The 19,924-nt window shown below is 41.5% G+C and overlaps 1 protein-coding gene across 53 annotated transcripts in view; it reads left to right on the forward strand.

The window, feature by feature from the left end:
- AFDN (afadin, adherens junction formation factor) overlaps nucleotides 1-17,144 on the forward strand; it is a 145,460-nt gene extending 128,316 nt beyond the window's left edge. For 13 of the 53 annotated variants that reach the window (XM_017010878.2, XM_017010882.2, XM_047418821.1 and 10 more), the window contains 4 exons: nucleotides 7,554-7,688; nucleotides 10,878-11,166; nucleotides 14,235-14,319; nucleotides 14,903-17,144. In XM_017010878.2, the coding sequence (XP_016866367.1) occupies nucleotides 7,554-7,688; nucleotides 10,878-11,166; nucleotides 14,235-14,319; nucleotides 14,903-15,056 (663 nt within the window). In that variant the 3' untranslated portion in view covers nucleotides 15,057-17,144. Of the gene's footprint in view, nucleotides 1-7,553; nucleotides 10,232-10,877; nucleotides 11,398-14,234; nucleotides 14,320-14,902 lie in introns of those variants that run through there. The other 40 variants (XM_047418814.1, XM_005266997.3, XM_047418818.1 and 37 more) reach the window with 7 other exon arrangements.

A 19,924-nucleotide genomic window follows, 5' to 3' on the forward strand; every position in this document is an offset into this window, starting at 1 on the left:
GGGTATTGACATTATTTGCCAGTTAAGATATAACTGTCTGTTGGTAGAGTAAGAGATTTCCAGTGAACATGTATTCTATGTTTTCTTTAATAATATAACATGGATTTTAATTCAGTTTATCAGCCATGCCAATTTATCAGTCTGCTGAAAAATACTTGAGGTTCATGGTCTGTTGTAAATTCAAAGTGTTCATTGTCATATTGGGGAAGTTTGGCTCATCGTTTAGGGCCCATTATGCTTGCGTATGGTATCTTTATCACCTGCTAGACAATTATACTCTGATATATTTATATAAACTTGAAGACAAATTCTAGTCAACTTATAAAGACAAAAGCCAATATCAGACGGTACATTTAAAACCTGTGAATCAAGGTTTGACTTTAGTGGCCTTTTCACCAAATAATAGTCCCCTTTTCCTTCCCCCCTCAGTTTAGCACAGCGGTAATAACACCTTAGAGAGGAACCTTTCTTACAAACACCTTCCCTCCTTGGTGATTGGAAGGCATATTTTCTGAGCTTTGCATTTTTTTTTTTACATGAAACAAAGATTTAAAAGTTATACATTTTTCTCCCTACTTCTTTGTGTGTTTTGATGTACATAAGTGTAGCTGGAAGATATTGATCAGAGTCACCTTAGTGTGAGATATTCATTCAGCAAATACTTGCTCAGCATCCATGACACGGTGGGCACTGACCTGAGGCATTGAAGATACCAGCCAGCTCTCAGGCCCAAAGAGAGTTTCTTATACTATGAAGAATTCTGTGACACATGAACAGTAAAATAATGCTTGCAATAAGGTTTTTGTTCCATAGAAATAATTCAGAGAGTTTCTTTCTTTAGAAGATAATTATTTTGAGTATTAATATTGATCTTAACCACATGTTTCTGAGCATTTCTTAGCCCAGTTCCCCAGTACATATTATTAACAGCACCTCATTATTTATAAAATTCTTGGGTGGGCACAGTGGTTCATGCCTGTAATCCCAGCACTTTGGGAGGCCGAGCAGGTGAATCACCTGAGGCCAGGAGTTCAAGACCAGCCTGACCAACATGGTGAAACCTCGTCTCTACTAAAAATACAAAAATTAGCTGGGCACAGTGGCGGGCACCTGTAATGCCAGCTACTCAGGAGGCTGAGGCATGACACTTGCTCGAACCCAGGAGGTGGAGGTTGCAGTGACCAGAGATTGCACCACTGCACTCCAGCCTGGGGAACAGAGCGAGACTTTGGCTCAAAAAAAAAAAAAAAAAAAAAAAAAACTATAGAATTCTTTTTATGTAAGAATTGGCAGGTTACCCTAGGAGACCCTCATCTGTGAAGATATTAGCCCTCTCCTTAATAAGGATAAGGGCAAATATGTGACTATATAGGGAGTGACACTACCCAGTATGGTTCTTAAGATATTTTCTTAGACACATCACAGGATTTTCAGGTAGGTAATTAGAGAAATGAGGCAGGTCTTTTCCTGTTTGGAAGCAGCTGAGTTTCATAAAGTTGGGAGGCTGCCTGCACTCGTTTCTGCTCTTCCCTCTGGTCTCTTTGTGACCCATCACCCCTGTCAGTCCAGGGCCTACCTTCTCCATCCTCTGTGCTCACTTCCGACCTGAGACGGTAGCACCACTTTGATGCCAGCAATATCCTCATTTGATTTCTAGTCCAAACTTCTCACATACTAAAGACTCAGATATCCACCTGCCCATGTAACATCTCCACATGGAGTCAAGTAAGACTTTTGGAATGCAGCATGCTCAAAGTGAAATCTTTGTCTGCTTCACTCACCTTGCACTGCTCATCATTCTGCCTTCAGCCTTCCCCATTTCAGCTGATGCTTCGAGTTGCTCAGGCAAGAAACCTCACAGTCATGCATGACCCCCTTTTTTCTCTGTTCAGAAACTCTACTGGCTTGACCTCCTCACAACCTGACCAATCTCTGTGCCCCCGTGACCAGAGCCTCTCTCCTTTTCCTGCCGGGGTCACTGCGAGAGACTGGCAGGATCCCTCGGTACTGTCCCCCAGTCCCTTCACAGGACAGCCTTGACATAGCATACAGCAGTCTCACGAGAATGTCCTCACAGCCCTCCTAAGTCTCTCCTTTCACTTAGACAGGCGGTCTAAGTTTGCTCGGGTCTCATCTCCTCTTCACACCCTTGCCCACTGGCCCTCCAGCCTGCCTGCCTGCCTTCTAGTGACCCTCCACATGTTGGGCCGTCGGGAGGGTCCCTGCCTGTCTCCATGGCTGACCCTCTTGGCACATGCAGGTGTCTCTCAGATGCCACCTTTCTGGGGGGGCCCACCTGCCCCCACTGCTTCATATGGGGGGGGCCCACCTGCCCATGCTGCTTTGTATCAGGGGCCCACTGGCCTCACTGTGTCCTGTGTGTTTTTCTGTGGACATGCTATACACATTACTCATCATTAGGCATGTTTGTCTCTTCTGGGTAGCGCCACCTCCATGGGAACAGTGACCTTTGTCCAAGTTTCTAGAAGAGTTCTGGAGTGTGGTAGGCAGTCGAGTGAGTGGGATCGGATTCCAGGCCAAGGTCCCAAGCTCTCGAAGGTGTGTGACCTTCCTGACTGTTAGCATCTCAAGAGTAAAGCTGTTACTAGGTTGTTTCCTATTTTAATGACTGAGATGGTGTGTAAGTCATGTTCAAACCAAAGTCTGACTTGCTGGAGGGATCTCCTTCAGCACTAGATTATGATGAAGCCCATTGTGTCGTTAGGGCTTTTCCTTTATATCGCATGGGCAAATCCAGGACACCTGGAATTCGTCAGGATGTCTGCTTTCTCCTGGCAGAGTACTCTGTCCTAGCCTTGGAACCTGTCTCTAACTTGAGTAGCCGGTTAGTTAGGACCATGGAGGTGGCCGTGACTGTGGCTGCAGCTTTGCCTGGCTGCAGCCTCGAGAAGTAGCTAGTCCTTCCACCTGATGACAAGGTGTGTGATTCGTGCCTTCATTGCTCCAGGTTGCCACATAACTGCATATATTCCTCTCATTTCCTCATGACAAAGCTATTCTATGGCAGAGCACAAGGGCCTAAGCCAGCATGGAAGAGATTGACCCAGTATCACACAGAGCACGTGAGAGCCAGGGTCCCCAAACCCACCATGGGAGAGACTTTGCCAGTACATGTTGAACATTCCTAATCTGAAAATTCAGAATCCAAAATCCAAAACTCTTTGAGCACCGACATTATGCCACAAGTAGAAAATTCCACACCTGACCTCAGTGAGAGGTTGTAGTCAAAGCTTCGTTTTATGTCCAAAATTATTTCAAATATGTTATAAAATTACCTTTAGGCTATATATATAGTGTATATGAAACAGAAATCAATTCATATTTAGACTTGGGTCCTGTTTCCAGGAAATCTCATTACATATATGCAAATAGTCCAAAAATAAAAAATCCAAAATTTGAAACACTTCTGGTTCCAAGCATTTTGGATAAGGGATACTCTGCTTTGTATCACATGGATCAGGTGAGAGTGAAGGTTTTAACGAGAGTTTTCTGAATTCATATTACGTGCCCTTTCTAGGACACAAAAATGCCTCTTTTTGTAACACTGTAGTGGCAGGAACCATTTTCTCGAAATTTACTTGGTTTGACAAATCTCTCAGTGGCTAAGCTCAGGTTTGTCTTGTTAACACGTTTTAATGGATCATCTGCTGACTCAGAAAACATGAGAACTCACAGGAGAAATTCCTCCCCCTTGGGGTAATAATACCAGTGAAAAGATGTTTTCAAAGAGTTCCGTGGTTCTGCTGCTTTCCTTACATGAAAGCCCAAGCTAGGTCTTCCCTCCTCTTCCGCTTTCTTGTTTTTGTTTGCTTGTTTTTGCGTGGAACTGTAGAAATTGGACATGCCCCTCTTGAGCATCCCAGGTATAGAAGGGGTTGAATTAAAAGCCTTATAAAAATTTCAAGCAGGAATTAGTAGGAAGCCTAATTTCAGAATTGTTTCTTCAGAGAAATCTATCTGGGGGAAGTCAGACTGTATTTTGTCTATTCAAATTGGAGTGCCTCTAGAATGAAAATGGGCCCTGCCCAGAATATCAGAGCCACAGTGTAGTCACAGTGCATCTTCAGGAAGTCTCAGTTTTACTCAAGGAATTAGGAGAAGAAATATGTATTAAAACCAACACGTATATATTGCAGAATGGAATACAAAGTTTGTATGATTGCGTAAAACAGTTGCCCTAAAAGAACTTCAAGTTTCTGTTGTAGGCCTCTTTGAGCCACACTGTCTTCCTTGTGGATTACGGTGTTAAGTCTCTGCCACAAGGGCGTTTCACCAGCTAAGCTCTAGATCTTACAACTTCTAATAAAATGGTCATTTTACTTAAATCTGAAAAAAGTGTGTGGGCTGTGCTACAGGAAGGGAGCTAGCACTTACTGAGGACCAGGTGCTACAGTGGATGGTTTTTCCTGTGTCATTTAATACATTCTACCACTGTGAGAGAGGACTTCAGTTTCCTAATGAGGAAATCGGTCCCTAAGACATAGAGTAGACTTTTGCTTGGTCTAAAAACCAGGTGTTATGTCACTTACCAGAGGTACTCCGATTCAATCATTAATTTGTAATAAATGATCAGGTGTTTTCTTCATGTTTTTGTCCCTAAAATTTTTTTAGGGTGGACATTTTTAAAGGGAGGGAGCATAGGCAGAAAAAGTCTGTAGAGTAAAAGGCTTTTTAAGGGCTTTAACAGAGTCGTGTTTTCAGTAATTTGTCAAAAAGTAAAGGGTATTATGACCCCATTTTATGTTCAGATACCAGTTTCATTTTCATGATACAAAATTATAAACACACAGATCTCAACATATACACACACATATATATGTATATAAAACCTGAAAATACCTGTTTTGGGGAATGTGGACTACCCATATAGCAGAACCTTGGTTCAAGCTTGCTACATACTGGCTTTCAAATCCCAGTGTAGTTCTCGATTTAGAATAACTTTCAGTCTGCATGGTCTTGATTCATCGGGTAATAGTTATTTTTTAATCTATTCTGCACTCTCCTCAAAGATCACTTCCTGCAAGGCTATTTTGGTAGCATGTAACTTTTCATTCTTTTAATCAAAGTGCTAATCTAATAGGCAGTTTGCCACTGGATTGCTGGGTGATTAAATTTGTAATTTAAGTTAAAATATCCTTTAAGTGTTACTGAATGTGAGTAACCCATACAATTCAGTGTACTGTTTTAAGCTATTATTTTGAGTAAATTAAGAGATTCTCGTTTTTCTCATTAATGCTTTGTGAATGGTGGGAGTAAAGCAACATAGCTTTGAAGAACAAAACAATTTATGTTTTGGAGATGGAAATACGTGAGTTAGCCAAAGAGTGGAAAGAAACTGCCTTGATGACATTGGTGCTGGTTGATTTGCCTTCCTTTACGAATAGTAACTGATGAGCTGAACACAAGTGGAGGCTCCTTGCTGACCGCATTCCAGATTTAGAAGAATAGAGGTTTTTAAGAAGAAAATGCCTGTTTTTACAGATTTATAAAAAATTATGAAAATAATTGTTCTGATTTCTTAAAATATACTTCTGTTTAAAAGAACTAATTGGTCTATCATTGTGTAACACTTTCTTGCTCAGCGCTTATTTTTAATTGAGGCTAGAAAATATTAACATAAATTAGTTTGTGCTTTGTGGGATAAGGAAAAGGCCCATATTGCATTAATGCAATTTTACATTCTACCCTAATTACTTTTCTGTAGAATATTTAATATTCTCACTTGCTTTATTTTGCTATTTTTGTTTGGCGCTGTTTCTCCTAGTTCTCCTAGTTTTTCTTGACCCCTGAAATCCTTGCTGAACGTTTCCATCCTTTGCTCTGGCCCCTGGTGCAGGAAGCCTGTGGGGAGCTGTGGCTGGTTCTGTCAACTCAAGGGCAAGGCGTCACCGACGGCTTCCTTGTGGGTTCTTAGTGGCATCTACTCCTGCTATAAGCCCCCTAAAAGCCAGTCATCCTAACATCCCTCTTGGGGTATGGATAGGTTGTCCTAAAGAGACAGTTCAATTATTTGTCTCTTTGAGAAGACAATTTTAATTTTTTTCTAAGATGTTTTATTATTGTTTATTGACATGAAAAAGCCTAGTAACACAGGTTAATTTATTCTTTCTCACCAGATACAGTGTTTTCTTCACAGAAATCAAGGGAGAGTGAAGTTGATTTTTATTTAAAAAAAAAAATACATACAAAATCAATTCAAATTCCAGCACTTAACATTGTTATATTTCTACTACAAACAATTTATAGACAAACTGGTAATTCTGTAGAAATTGAAGCACGTAGGAATTTTATGTAAGGGATTCCTGCAGTGGTTAGAGATTGAACTAGATGGCTTTAAGTTTCATTTTAATCCTATAAATATTGATTACTTCTTCATGACACATGATAATACAGCTGTGGGTGTTCCTGTAGCACAGGTCTATACCAGATAAGAAGTAAATGGAGAACACAGTTTTCAAAGTTACCATTATCTTAGACTAGAATAACAGAAAAGCTGCGTGTATCCAAGACCAAAAGGGAGAGTCTTTCTGTTCTGCACTGGTTGTTAATCCAGGGTTCCTCTTTAGAAAAGGTATTTTCAACCTATAGTGCATAGAGATGTGAGCAGAAGGATAAAGGAGCTAAAAATTGAAAAGAAGGGACTTAGGTATTTGAAGGACATCCTTAAGTATTTGAATGATATGAAGGAAAGGTATCTTTCTGTGTTGTTTCAAAAAGGCAGAACTGGAATGACCAAAAAGAGAAACAATGAGGTAATGAATTGTTAACATAAGAACTTCTTGACTAGTGTTACCTGAAAACAGAATGGATTGTATTGACTGAGAGGTCAACATTAGGTCCAGACAGAAGAGAGCCGAGATAGGGCTCCTTCCCATCTCAGGTTCAGAGTCCATGGTGCAGAGTGTAGGGTAGTCCTGAGTCGGGAGGGAATTCTTGAAGTCCAGGGTGGGATCTGGAGGGAGCTGATGGTAAAGGGCAGAGGAGAGAGAGTGGCAGGCCTTGGTCCCCGGGAAAGATGGACGACTGCCCGGCCCACTGGAGTCACATATGCTGCTTCTGTCCCACCTATGCAGAGGCGAGTGGGGGCCTCCCTCTTCTACAAGATATTCGTAGTGGAAATTAAAAAGGGAGAGGAGAAAGGAGGTGTTTCAGTGTGTTCTGCAGGTCCATCAAGTGGGGCCTGTTTGAGCCTGTTAATTTACATGAACGGGTTAACTAAATTTGTTCCAGTAAAAGAATTGTGCTTGTTGAATGTGTGAATGTAGATGATAAATTCCATCTTATAGCCATGATTAATGGAGGAATAACTGGGATTTGTGGCAACCGTTTTTAGGTAATTTATTTTAAAATTGTAGAGCTAAAAAATTGTAAAAAGTTTTATTTTCCAACAGTGATTTTAACCTGGTATTTTATATTTAACTTTCTGTGTGTGTGTGTTTGTGTATATGTGTGTCTACTTGTCTTAATGTGTGCATTTTATGTCTTGTGCTGGTGGAGTTTGTGGAGGGAGATTAATGTCAGCCTGTTGTTAGTTGCAGGACGAGGAGCGGAGGCGGCAGCAGCAGTTAGAAGAGATGCGCAAGCGGGAAGCGGAAGACCGAGCGAGGCAAGAGGAAGAGCGCCGGCGGCAGGAGGAGGAGCGAACAAAACGAGACGCTGAAGAAAAGGTTATGGTCCTTTAAGGGCAGCTAGAATTTTACCAAGTTAGCCTGAACGTAATCGATTGGCTGGGGCAGAGCGGGCTGGAAGTTCTGTGTTTCTTAAGAAGCACGAGGCAGAGCAGGGCCTGGCTCCCCCAGCTTTGTGATTGGACCTGCAACTTTACCCCATCTGGCCCACCTACCTCTCTTCTGGACTGTCTCCAGATCCCCTTATCTGCCAAGTTTTGTCTCCTTCAAACTTCTGAACTCTTGGGCGTGTGTAGCAGTGAGCCTCTTTGCAAAGGGTTCGTTTCCTCGGGCACTCATCTTTACTGAACATGGCCCAGCTTGTCATTGTGAAGGTGACATTGGTTCAGTGATTGCTTAAATGGCATGTGGACCGTGGGAAGCAGTAGGAGCGTAGTAAGACAGTTGGCTGCCATTCAACATTTCAAATAGATGGTTTACTCAAATCACTCACTTCTGGTTGATGGTAAAGAGAGCAGATGGCTTAGAAAACATGATACAGGAAAATTTAGTATGTAATCCAGTAAATATCCTAAGTTATTTATTTTCATGTGTGTGTGTGTGTTTAAATCAAGTAACCCTTTTAATTGAATTTTAAAATGACAGCGAATTTTGACATTCTGAGAAATGGGGATTTTGAGATGTTTCTCTCCATATCTCCCTTTGTCCTGTGTGTGTGGCCGACGCCCTCTGGATGAAGAGGCTGTAGCCGTTGAGCTCCCTGTGGGGGCCTGTTTCATCCCGAGGGGACTGCGTGTTGCTCTGTGTGGTTTGAGAGAAGCTGCTCTTCTCTGTTACTTCCCTTCTATGAAGGTAGAAGCTTTCAGTGTTACAACTTCTGATGGCGGAAAATTTAGTTTTTATTAATAATTCCTTCTTGGATAGTCTAGTGAACTATATTAATAGAACAGTGTACTGTTCACAGAAAAGAACTTGTAGGGAGTTTTTTGTAGTGATATGCTCTATTAGGATACAGAACAATCTAAGAGTAAGCTTGATAGACATGATGTGACTTCACTTAAATGGAGTAGAGTGAATAATGTAAGGACACTCACCTCTGTTGAAATTGGTGATTTCTGCATTTTGTAGACCTTTGCCCTCTAAGTTTATCATCATATTATCTGTTGAATCTGAACAGCATTTGAAGTCCTCTCAAAGAGTTTGAGCTTTCAGGATTAGGTTCCCCTGTGAGTCTTTCACTTGTGTAATGGTAAGTCAACATTGATGATCTTTCTAAGGAAATCAGATTTACAAAATGCTGAGCCGCTTGATGTCTAAGTGTTGGTGGTTTTTGCTGTTGCTTTGCTGTTCCATGAAAGCGCTCCCTGGCTGCTTGGAGGGCTGTGCTTTTCCAGGTCAGTGCCAGCTTGGCTGTCCCAGGCCGTGCACAGTGCCCATTGCTATAGCTGGGCCCAGTCCTGGCCACGCCGGAGCCTCGGCGGGGGCAGCTGGGTTGTCACGGCAGCACAGTGCACATGCAGAGAGGACCAGGCCATGTTTTTCCTGTGCTGAGAAACTCTTGGGTTATTTAATTTTTCCAATGTGTTTTCATAACTCATGATTATTTGAAATACACTTGTGTTAGTAACTGCTTCTATAATTAAGTGGTCACTGTAAAAAGGCGAATAACCTATTTTTATATCAGAATGTCCAAAACTCATGGGTTTGCTTTGTTATAGAAAAATGTGCCATTCATTTGTTGGGTAGAATAAAGTTGTCTTGTAATTGTATCTGCTCTTGGTATAACTAAAAGAGGATATTTTGATTTCTTCCTAAAATGTTACCAAGCAACTGTTCTTCATGTTAATACTAAGATTCTTGATAGTTCCATTTAAAAGCCACAAGAAGTCATTCTGGTTTATTCCTCACTCCAAGGGAACACTTACTTTGTGTAGACAAGAAGATGAGAGTCTTTCCTTCAGGATTTCTAAACACAGAGCAAGAAGATTCAATGAAAAATTGGGCTCAGGGCAGTAATTGGGGCTGGCATTTATTCTTAAGAGTTTTCTCCCTCAAAAGGTGAAGGAGTGACATTGCGTATTCACTCTGTGTGTGTGTGTGTGTGTGTGTGTGTGTGTGTGTGTGTGTGTGTGTAGCTCTAGAGGGAGTAGGGAGAAAATACAGGATGAAATTGAAAACAGGGACTAACAACTTTTCACTGAATGCCAGCAAGCTCTCTAAAATTAGTTTTCTTTGGTTGAACAAATTTACAATTCATTGTACTTCATTTCACAGCATTAAACATTTACTCGAGGCAGTTTATTCTGTTTGCTCTTTCATCCCCCTTCTTATTTACTTTTTTCTTGTGCTCTAAAACTTTTGTCAATCTTTAACAAAACTGTGCTGTTACCTTTTTTAATGTTAAAAGAATTTTAACACTGTCAACTGTAGTTTGTGCAGATGTATGTCAGAAAAAAATGTACAGTATGTGTCAAAATATATTTGAATATCTTGTTGCTGTTGCTGTTAGTTCCTGGCTCTCTAATTTTCTGTCTGTTAGGGAGTTTCTTAAGATTTGAAATACAAGTTAAGAACTATGGAAAGCATATTTGTTAGATTGTTACTTTGGGAGAATGAGTGTTTTTTTTTTTTTCTTCATTTCTGGTTTCCTGTTAATCTCCTTCCTGATAACTGAAGTAAACAGGGTGGTTCACTCATGTCCTCCTTGTCCAGGAAGGACTGCTCTTCTGCATTCATGGGGGCTCAGTGAAAAAGAGTGCAAGTTTGCCTTTTGGAAAGTGCTGGCCATAGAAAGCCAGTGACAGCCTATTTTTAGTTTTGCATTATCTTTAAACACAGCAGTAACAGGTAAGTTAATATCCTGCCAAAATCAGAAGAGGAGAGAGAGAAGGAAGTAACAGGAGCGTGGAGGAAGGAAAGAAGGAAAGCAGAGGAGAATTCAGTCCACTGGGATAATGGAAAGGCATAAGTGACTGGGAAGCAGGAGGCTGAGAATCCATTCCATGCTTCTGAGCAGTTTTCTGTCAAATAATCCAGGATAGTATTAATGTACTTGTAAGTCTAGGGAGAAGACTCTGGATTGACCTGCTGCTTCTGTTACATAGTAATTGTAACTATTAAACTTTGACGTCAGTGTGATGATGAGGATTGTTCCCTTTGAAGGCCCAGTGGGTCGGCTGTTCCCTTCTCACCTCTGACCTTTGCACTCTTGTCTATTCCCGCCCGCAGAGGCGACAGGAAGAAGGGTATTACAGCCGCCTGGAAGCCGAGAGGCGCAGACAGCACGACGAGGCGGCGCGCAGGTTGCTGGAGCCCGAGGCGCCCGGTCTGTGCCGCCCTCCGCTTCCCCGGGACTACGAGCCCCCGTCCCCGTCCCCCGCGCCCGGCGCCCCTCCTCCCCCGCCTCAGCGAAACGCCTCCTACCTCAAAACACAGGTCCTCTCCCCCGACTCGCTGTTCACTGCCAAGTTTGTTGCATACAATGAGGAGGAGGAGGAGGAGGACTGCAGCCTAGCAGGTCAGGATAAGTACTCCAGCACAAGAAAGTCTCATGGGGACCTTCTTCCTGCCCCTCTTAAACCACGGCCACCCCCCTGCCAGCCACGCCCGGCCTCCGATGGCGTCTTTCTCTCCAACTCATTCCAGCCACCCTCAGCCAAAGCCAACAGTACTGCTCACAAAAAAGGCCAGCCCCTGCCCCCTCCAAAAAAATCCAGCTCCTACCATCCCAGCCACTGCAAAGGTAGAGGTAAAAGAGTGACAAATCAGCTCTCTTTGTCTTAATGATTGGAACCTCAGCATCTCTCTGCACACTTGCCCTGTAGTATGGTCCATGGCGATCATACTTGCCTTGGAATTTGGATGTCATGTGATCACTGGTCTCGGCATGGTGATCCTCCTCTGCCTCTGATTGTGATGTTCTGTGCTAATACTCTTTGGTAGATATCTTAGTACTCCGATTTCTTTTACACTTTAAAAAGTTCCATTTCTTTGATCAGCTGACAATCAGTCCTTCTCTGTTGTTCCCAAATCACTTGAAGTACTGTTGGTCTTGGCTTTCATTTTCTCTCTCTACCAATGATCTTCTATTTGTTTGAACAAGTGCTTTTCACACGCTGTAGTGTCTCTAGAGACAAAGGTTATAATTCTATTATAAGTTTCCTTTATTTAATGTTGGCAGAACTTTCTGTTCTGGATTAAGTAGCCTGTGGAATAGATCACGCGCTCTCATGGTGGTTTGGTTGGTGTGGCCGGAGCATCCGCTAAGCTGGTTCACTGTTGGCTTCATGACCTCCGTGCAGGCTGCCTCACGCCAGGGTCCAGAGACCCCCGTTACAGGGAAATTCCTCTCATCCCCTTTTCCTCTAACTGGCTTCACTCCTTCCTGTTACTTGCACTCTTAGCACCTAGTAACACCAGCAGCCAGACCTTAGCAGGCGTGCAGCTGCCGTTAGGGAAACCCCTATGCTGACTGTAGAGCAGGACAGTTGTGCAGGGGACAGGGCCTAGAGGCTGTCACAGGCGTGGGTTCAGTAGTCATTGTTTTCAAGACAGCATGTTTAAAATATAGCTGAATTCATAAGGATTCAGATTTCACACTAATCTTACCTTAAATGAAACTGGAATTCTGGTACTAAATATCTTCAAATACAAGAGTATTACTTTTAGTGAGTGTATGAGAGTCTTCTAAATCCTGCATCATTCTGCATAAGCAATGCATGGGACTCGACAATTCTGAAATTGTCAAATATTCTAAGAGTCAGTGTAACTGTCACCCTTACAAATAACAGATTAATTTTGCCAGAATTCTGTCTTTCCCCGCCCCCCTGGATCAGAGCTTTGATCTACTTTGAAGGTTTAATATATAATAATATTTAGGTTGAGTCACTTTGGAAGCCAGGATTAAATCATTTTATGAAATATCTGTTGTAAGTATCTACAATTTGGTACCTTTTAGAGAAATTTACGGAATAATAGTAAATTTTGAAGCAGGATGCCATCAGTCTCCTTGTATTGAATTTTATAAGCTGAACCTAAGATATTTTTTTATGTGTCATGACAGAAATGTGAGGTTTGGTAGCCAAGTATTATAATGAGGTGTCACTACTCACCATCTTGGCTCTCAGTCCTACCACTAACCCTTATTTTACCGCACACATGAAGTACCTCACAGGACCAGGTCATAGCCGACATCTGATTGCTCCACCTCTTTGAAGACTTCTTCGTAATGTACAGAGCCGTCTGCACCGTGTGCAGAGCGCATTCCGACCTTGTGTCCTCCTCATTTCACTAGCATGGTCTCATTCCTTGCTCAGCTCTGTTTGTGTCGCGAGCACTCTGGTAAAGCATGCTTCTGCAGATGGACTGGGCTTCTTCCACTGGACAGTGAGAGGAGCAGCATTAGGATGTGAATGAGTAATGCCAGATTTGAACATAGCACTGTATGAAAGATTCATTACTAAAGCTTTTTGAAAATGATCTGTGATTTGGAGTATTCATAGAGAGTCAGCTGAAGGTATTTGATACTCTTAAGTCTAAAAGTTCCGAAAATTCAGAAGAATTAGTTTTACCAGTGGAAGAAGCCAGTATCATTCTTAAAGCTCAAAAGATATAATACAATGTTTTTAAAACTAAGCAAGATAAAAAATTTGGAACTAAAATTGAAAAAAATGTCTCCATGCGGTAATTTATCTAAAGGCCCGCTATAAATTGTCGTAAGGTGGAGATGTGTTTCTGTTGAATCTTTTGAGTCTTTGCTGAGGATGGCGCCCTCTGCAGGGTGGTGGGAAACCTGAGTGAAGGTGCAGTGCAGAGAGGCGCCTTCAAAAGGCAGCTGTGTCCCGTCTGCAGCACATCAGATGAGTTCTGCACAGCAGGTCCTTTTGTAGAAGAGGAGAAACAAAAATGTATTTTTGTGCAAGTTGTTTGAAAAAGAATTTTAATGTGAAAATATTGTACTACTTTTGTGGCCTGTTTAATCCAATATTCATTGCTGTCAGTATTTGCTAAATAGTTTGAGCATTTATTACTGCAGCCTGTATTACACTGTCAGATTTTTCCAGTGTGAATTTTTCTAATGCTACAATTAATAGAAATACATTAACACTGATTTACTGCATTATGATTTTAACAATATAACATTGATTGTTACTTGGATACACTTAGTGACATTATTACTTGGATACATTGAAAACTTTGTATCTGCATCACATCTTTTGATCCTCAACAATCCACCGAAGCCAGTAGGAACAGGGCAAATGTTGCCGATGGGTTGATGTTACACTCACCCAGAGTTGCTGTGCCAGTCAGAGGCAGAGCTGGGCCAGTGGGCAGTATTCCTCCCTCATAGTGAAGGGCGTCAGGTCAACATTTTAGCACCTTTTGAGAGTAGTAATTGGATTACTCAGGCCACCAACAGGGATGAATTTCAAACTGATGAAACTTTGATACAATATGAGGGGTCTTTTACCTTCCTACTTACTCAGTAAAGGTATTTTTGTATTCTCTGAGCACTGCATCTTTATCATGAGTAAAGCTTAGAAATAATCAGGTACTTTAACTTGTACTGTTTCTTTCATGGAAAAGGACCAAACTCTTACCCAGGATCTACTGGAGCAGCTGTTGGAGCCCATGACGCCTGTCGGGATGCAAAAGAGAAGCGCTCTAAAAGGTATGGACGGTTGCACTAGACGAGGAACTTCATCTGTACCTGATGAGCCCTTTCACTCTTCACGACACCTTGAGATTATGTAAACAGACTTCATGGCTTCACTCTGTGACCTCACCTGGATTGTAATTAGGAATGCTATTGCCCCAAGTGTTCTTAAAACATGGAATTTGAACTCACCAGAAAAATCATCAGTACTATTCTATAACTTATTATTAAATTTGGCATATTTATAGATGCCTCTCAGGTACATGTAAGATGCCTTAAAATGCTGTATTTTAAAACTGTACCCCTCAGGTTACACTTAACTGGTAAGAGTCACCTGCTTGCTAAAATCTAACTTACAAGTTTTTTGAGAGTTGACTATGACTGGGAAAAGTTAATGTTGTAGCCAAGAGAACATGTTGCCCTTTTTTTCTAGATGGGTTTAAATACAGCCCCTGTGATTTCGATTATAAGAAAGGTTATAGCACAATTTAACAAAGAATGAGTGAAAATTTTAATCGCCCATTTTGCAAACGTGTGTAATTGTTGACAGGTTGTTTCTAGTTTGTCCAGTAATCTTTGATATTGCCCTCTTCTGCAGCCAAGATGCAGATTCACCTGGAAGTTCTGGGGCCCCTGAAAACTTGACATTCAAGGAACGCCAGCGTCTTTTTTCACAAGGTCAAGATGTATCCAATAAAGTGAAAGCTTCTCGTAAATTAACAGAACTGGAGAATGAACTGAACACAAAGTGAAAGAAAATGAGGAGAACACTTTGTATTTACCCCAAAATCTTTTCAGTTGTGGGTTTGTAGGTGCGAGTTTGAAGAGGAAAAGAGGAAGGGGGTTATATTTCTAAGTGATTTACAATTTCTGTTTCTAAAATTGTTGGGATTTAGAAATGTTTCAATTCCAAGAAATTTTATTTTACTTTACCATGAGATTGCCATTTATGTAATTTAAACACTGTCTAGTTTCTTAATTATCTAACTCACACGAGGGTAAGTTTTTTGTTGGTTTCTTTTTTGGAGTCCTGAGTTCAAAGGGGACAGAACTAAGGGCAGGAGAAGAGAATGGATGTGTCTTCTCTCCCATCTTCCCCTCATCATCGACCGAGGAGCACAAAGAAGTTCTGTTTCTGTTTTTTTCAGAAACTTTATTTTAGCTGTCAAGCAGAGAATAGCTTGAACTATTCAGACTATTGTTGGCACTGTTTAGTAGTGACCACACGCTCTTCTACCCGGGAAGGAACATATGACGACATGCTCCTCCCATGTCCCCTGATGGTGTCTGTTCCCACAATATCCTTCTAGTCTGCATCGTGAAGTGGCTTAGGCCAAAGCTTCCTGTGTGATGACGCACGTCCGAGACTGTTCCATCTCATTCCTCGCAAATTTGAGCTCTTCTGATCAATTCTAAATATTTGATTAATTTTAATTCTGAAAGAAAATTTTGAGGATTTAAGCTTAGGGGATTTTATTTTTATAAATACCAGATTATTGTTAGACTTAATAAATCACTGTTAAATTTAAAGATGACAGTTACCTTGGAAAGTTCACTAATACTTCGCTCCAAGGCGTCTGTAAAAGAAGATATCTTTATTGGAGCAATGTTCATGTGACTGGGAATGACAGAAGAATGGGAGATGAGTAGGGACCCCTCAAGCACAGCTGTCACTCAGAAATTTTAAATTTGAAAAAGAAATCGATTTTCATCTGTATGCCGTCAAGGAAGGAATTCAGTTACAGGGCATCTGTAACTTAAATATTGTAAGAATAACTCATATGGAAGTTCAAGCTATTTTTATACTATAATAGAGTTATTTAATTTTAATTTGTTGAATTATTAGTTACCACTGTCATTTCTTCAGCTATGGATATGTGGCTGATGTTGGGGAGACGGACCTCAGTGTGTTTTATATTGTCTGGTGTTAAGATGATAAATTACTTTGTGATTACAAGCAAATTTTCTATTTGACAAAGCCCTTGGTGGAGTCCAAATGATTTTTCTGTACCATATTGTTCTCTTACACATACGTATGTTAGGAAAATAGGCACACTTTCAAAGAGAATGTTCTCTTACACATACGTATGTTAGGAAAATAGACACATTTTCAAAGAGAATGTTCTCTTACATATGTTAGGAAAATAGGCACACTTTCAAAGAGAGGTATAGGGGCTTTTTACTGCCTTCGAAATCACTTTTAATAAAAGTTGTATGATAAATCATTAAAAATGCGAGTGTAAATATTTTTTTTTACCTCTATCAGGGTTTTTATTTGAAAGTGTGCTCTTACCATTTCCTTGTTTGAGTAAGAGAGTGAATGGTTCTGAGTGTTTAGGAAGGATTTGCTTGCTTGCAGCAGAAGTTCTAGGAAAAGCAGGCACCTCCCAAATATCTTGAGGACACTGGCAGCCTTATGGTGACTAAATCCACACTTTCTTTAAAGAGATGCAGATGAATTACTTTTCTGTTAATATATAGAAAAATACACAGGAGAACATGCAGATACATGTAAATATCTACATACAGGGATATTTGTATGTGTGGTTGTGAAACCCATACACAAGTGGATTTGGCCATCTTTGGGCAGTGAGGTCAAATGTGAATATGTGTAAAAGTGCTTTTCAGAACTGCATTACTATGAGAAAACATCAAAACTGCTGTAGTTTTCCATTTCTACTGTATTTCAGTTGCAACCTATTTTTAATAAACTTTGTATGTATTTAAGTGTATTTGCTATTGTTTTGAAAGTGCTGACAAAGTTTATATTTGTAACATCAGCCTTCCTCGCCCATCTCTTTCCATCTGTCTCTTCTTCATTAAACACTTACTGAGTATGATTTCTGTGTCAGGCAGTGGTTTTCATTTGTGGGGACGTGTCGTGTGCCTCGTCACACAGCTCACGGGTGGTGTCTGAGTCTCATAAGCCGTTCTGCTGCCCAGGCCTTCCTGATGCTTCCTTGATCCCAGCAAGCTTAGGTGGGCATTCGAGCCATTTCTCAGTGACACTGTCTCTTGGTGGCCCCTTTGAAATAAAATATCCGTAGTAATAAGTAAATGGTGTACATAAGGCATCCTGGTGAGAAGCGTCCTAGTGCAAGAACCCACTCGGGACGGCCTCGTGTAAAAGGGTGTGTTTGATTGTAAAACTACACAAGTCACATTGTGAGGACCTGGGAGCTGCGGGAGGCCTGGGCATGTGCGGGCGGGACCTTCTGTGTGGACAGGGCTCAGCGCTGCCTCTGCGCCATCTCCTGCCTCTGCCTATTTCCAGTGGACCTTTTAATGGCCTGTGAGCAGGGGGATGGGACAGGGCAGGGATGGAGAATTTTTAGAGCTTTCATGGGGGGAGAAAAGGATGGGAAGTTGTTGGTTGAAGGATGCAAAGTTTCAGATAGACAAAAGGAATAGGTTTTCAGATCCATGTGCTGCACAGCAGGGTGACTGTAGTCCATGTATTGTAAAAATAAGGACGTTCATGAAGGAAGGAGTGTGTCTTAGGGTTGTAGAAACTTGTGGAGACCTTTTTGATAGAACGAGATGTTTGTGTATTAGAACTATAGTATTCACTTTTACTATATTTTAATGCTTGAAAGGGGACTTTAATGTTTGGGAATACAAAAACTTAGGAAGTCTGAGTATTATTACAGATTCCTTTTTCTCCTCAAGCCTTGTGTTTCTGTTGCTGTCAGTGGAAATAATGGTACTGCCCTACAGTGGTCTGTCATACGGACCAGCAAGCACTTGATCATTTTCTGGTGTGCGCCGTTGGACACAATTTCCTCTATCCTTTATTGAGTGGAAAACTGATTTCAAAGATTTAGTTATATTTAGTAAACATTAAGCAAAATTTAATTCGAGTGACTTGGAGGAGGGAAAGGATGTACAAAAAGTGATAGTTTTGTTATTTCCAGTATTTCATCCAGTTTATTCCAAAAATCACATAACCTCAAAAGAGACATACTAGACTTGAGATTGGGAATTGAAGCTAGTTTCTTGTTTAATTCAGCAGATGTTTATGGGAGCCTGCGGGTGCCTCCTGCCTCAGTGATGGTGACGGGTCTCACAGCGCTTACCTGCTGTCCTGAAACAGCGTGGCTCTGCCCCCAGGGAGCATCACTCCAGGAGGCAGCAGCACATGTTCCATTTACATATGCAGATACATAGTAACTGTTAACAGTAAAGAAGTGCAGGGGACACCTGGAGGTCTAATAAAGTTCCTGGGAGATGGTAGGCTGTTTTGAGAAAGTGATGATCTTGAGAAGCCTTGCAGATGGAAGGAGAAGCCTGAGGCAGATAAGCTGGAACCTCAGGAAGATCAGGGGAGCCCAGAGCCAGAGCCCCAGAACAGGAGGGTGCAGGCAGGGGCTGGAGAGAGCCAGGGGCCACCTGGCACTACCCGGTGGTAAAAGAGTGTATTTTCTAAGACCATGGCAGGAAATGTGACTTGTTTTCTTCACGCAGTGCAAAGCCTCTGCAGGGTTTCTAGGAGGGGCTGGGGCCACCCAGGTGATGTCAGTGGCTGTCGCTCTGGTTGCCGGGATGGGAGGGGAAGGAATGGAAGCCCGGAGCAGGCTCCTGCAGGAGTTGGAGGCTTTGAGGAACCAGATGGTGGTGTGGCCACCCAGATAGGAGAGCATGGAGGCATGGGCTGGGGTGGGCACAGGTAAGCTCTAGAGTTGTTTGCATAGCTACAGAGATGCCAAAGAACAGATTAGAAAAGAGGACAAAACTCAGCTTGGCTTTCAAACAAATTGGTAACCATGGCTTTCTGTTTGAAAACTACTTTCACATGTCTTCAGTGGGTTAGATCTTATTTTTCTCTGCTCTTCTAAATCTTACGTTTTATTCTTTTATAGGGACTACAGGCTTAAATGAATGTTAAATTGGAGACAGTGGTTCCAACTTCAACTTGGAACTTTTAAAAATGATTATAAGATATTAAGTAATCTAAGCCCAAAGAGAGACCTGGGAAACCATAGAGTCAATTGTATGGCTTTAAAAATGTTCCACCTTCCTCCCGTCAATCTTTTTTGTATGAGAATAGATCCCAAAATATAAAAACAGCCTAGTTCAGTTGAGCAAAATACGTACCATGTTCTGAACAGGCGAAGCATAGCTAGGGAGTCTCGGGACTTTGGGTTTGTCTGATTTCTGTAACTGCCATTACCTAAATATTGGAAAATTGCTGACATCGATGCAGAGACTGTCCAGAGCCCTCTAAGTCTTTGTGGACAAAGAGTGACTTATTTAATGAAGCAGCCTCTCCTTCCTGTGATGTGAGATGTTTATTTCTCTTTCCAGTTTTTTAATTATACGTCACCCATCGCAGACTAGGCACCCATAAATATTTGTTGGGTAAATTCTTCTCAATCTGAAGTCTAGTATGTATCTTTGGGGTTGTGTGACTTTTTGGAATAAACTGGATGAAATCGTGGAATTAAAAATTCACTTTTTGCATATACTTTCCCTCCTGCAAGTCATCCAGTTACATCTTGCTTAGTGTTACTAAATATAACTTTCTGAAATTAGCTTTCCATGCAAGAAAACATAGAGGAATGCTATCTTCAGTACAGTAGACGGATTGCTCACAGACAGCTGGAGGCTGCAGTCTATAAAT

The sequence above is a fragment of the Homo sapiens genome, chromosome 6 (genome assembly GCF_000001405.40).
Source record: "Homo sapiens chromosome 6, GRCh38.p14 Primary Assembly".
In the NCBI taxonomy this organism is placed as follows: domain Eukaryota; kingdom Metazoa; phylum Chordata; class Mammalia; order Primates; family Hominidae; genus Homo; species Homo sapiens.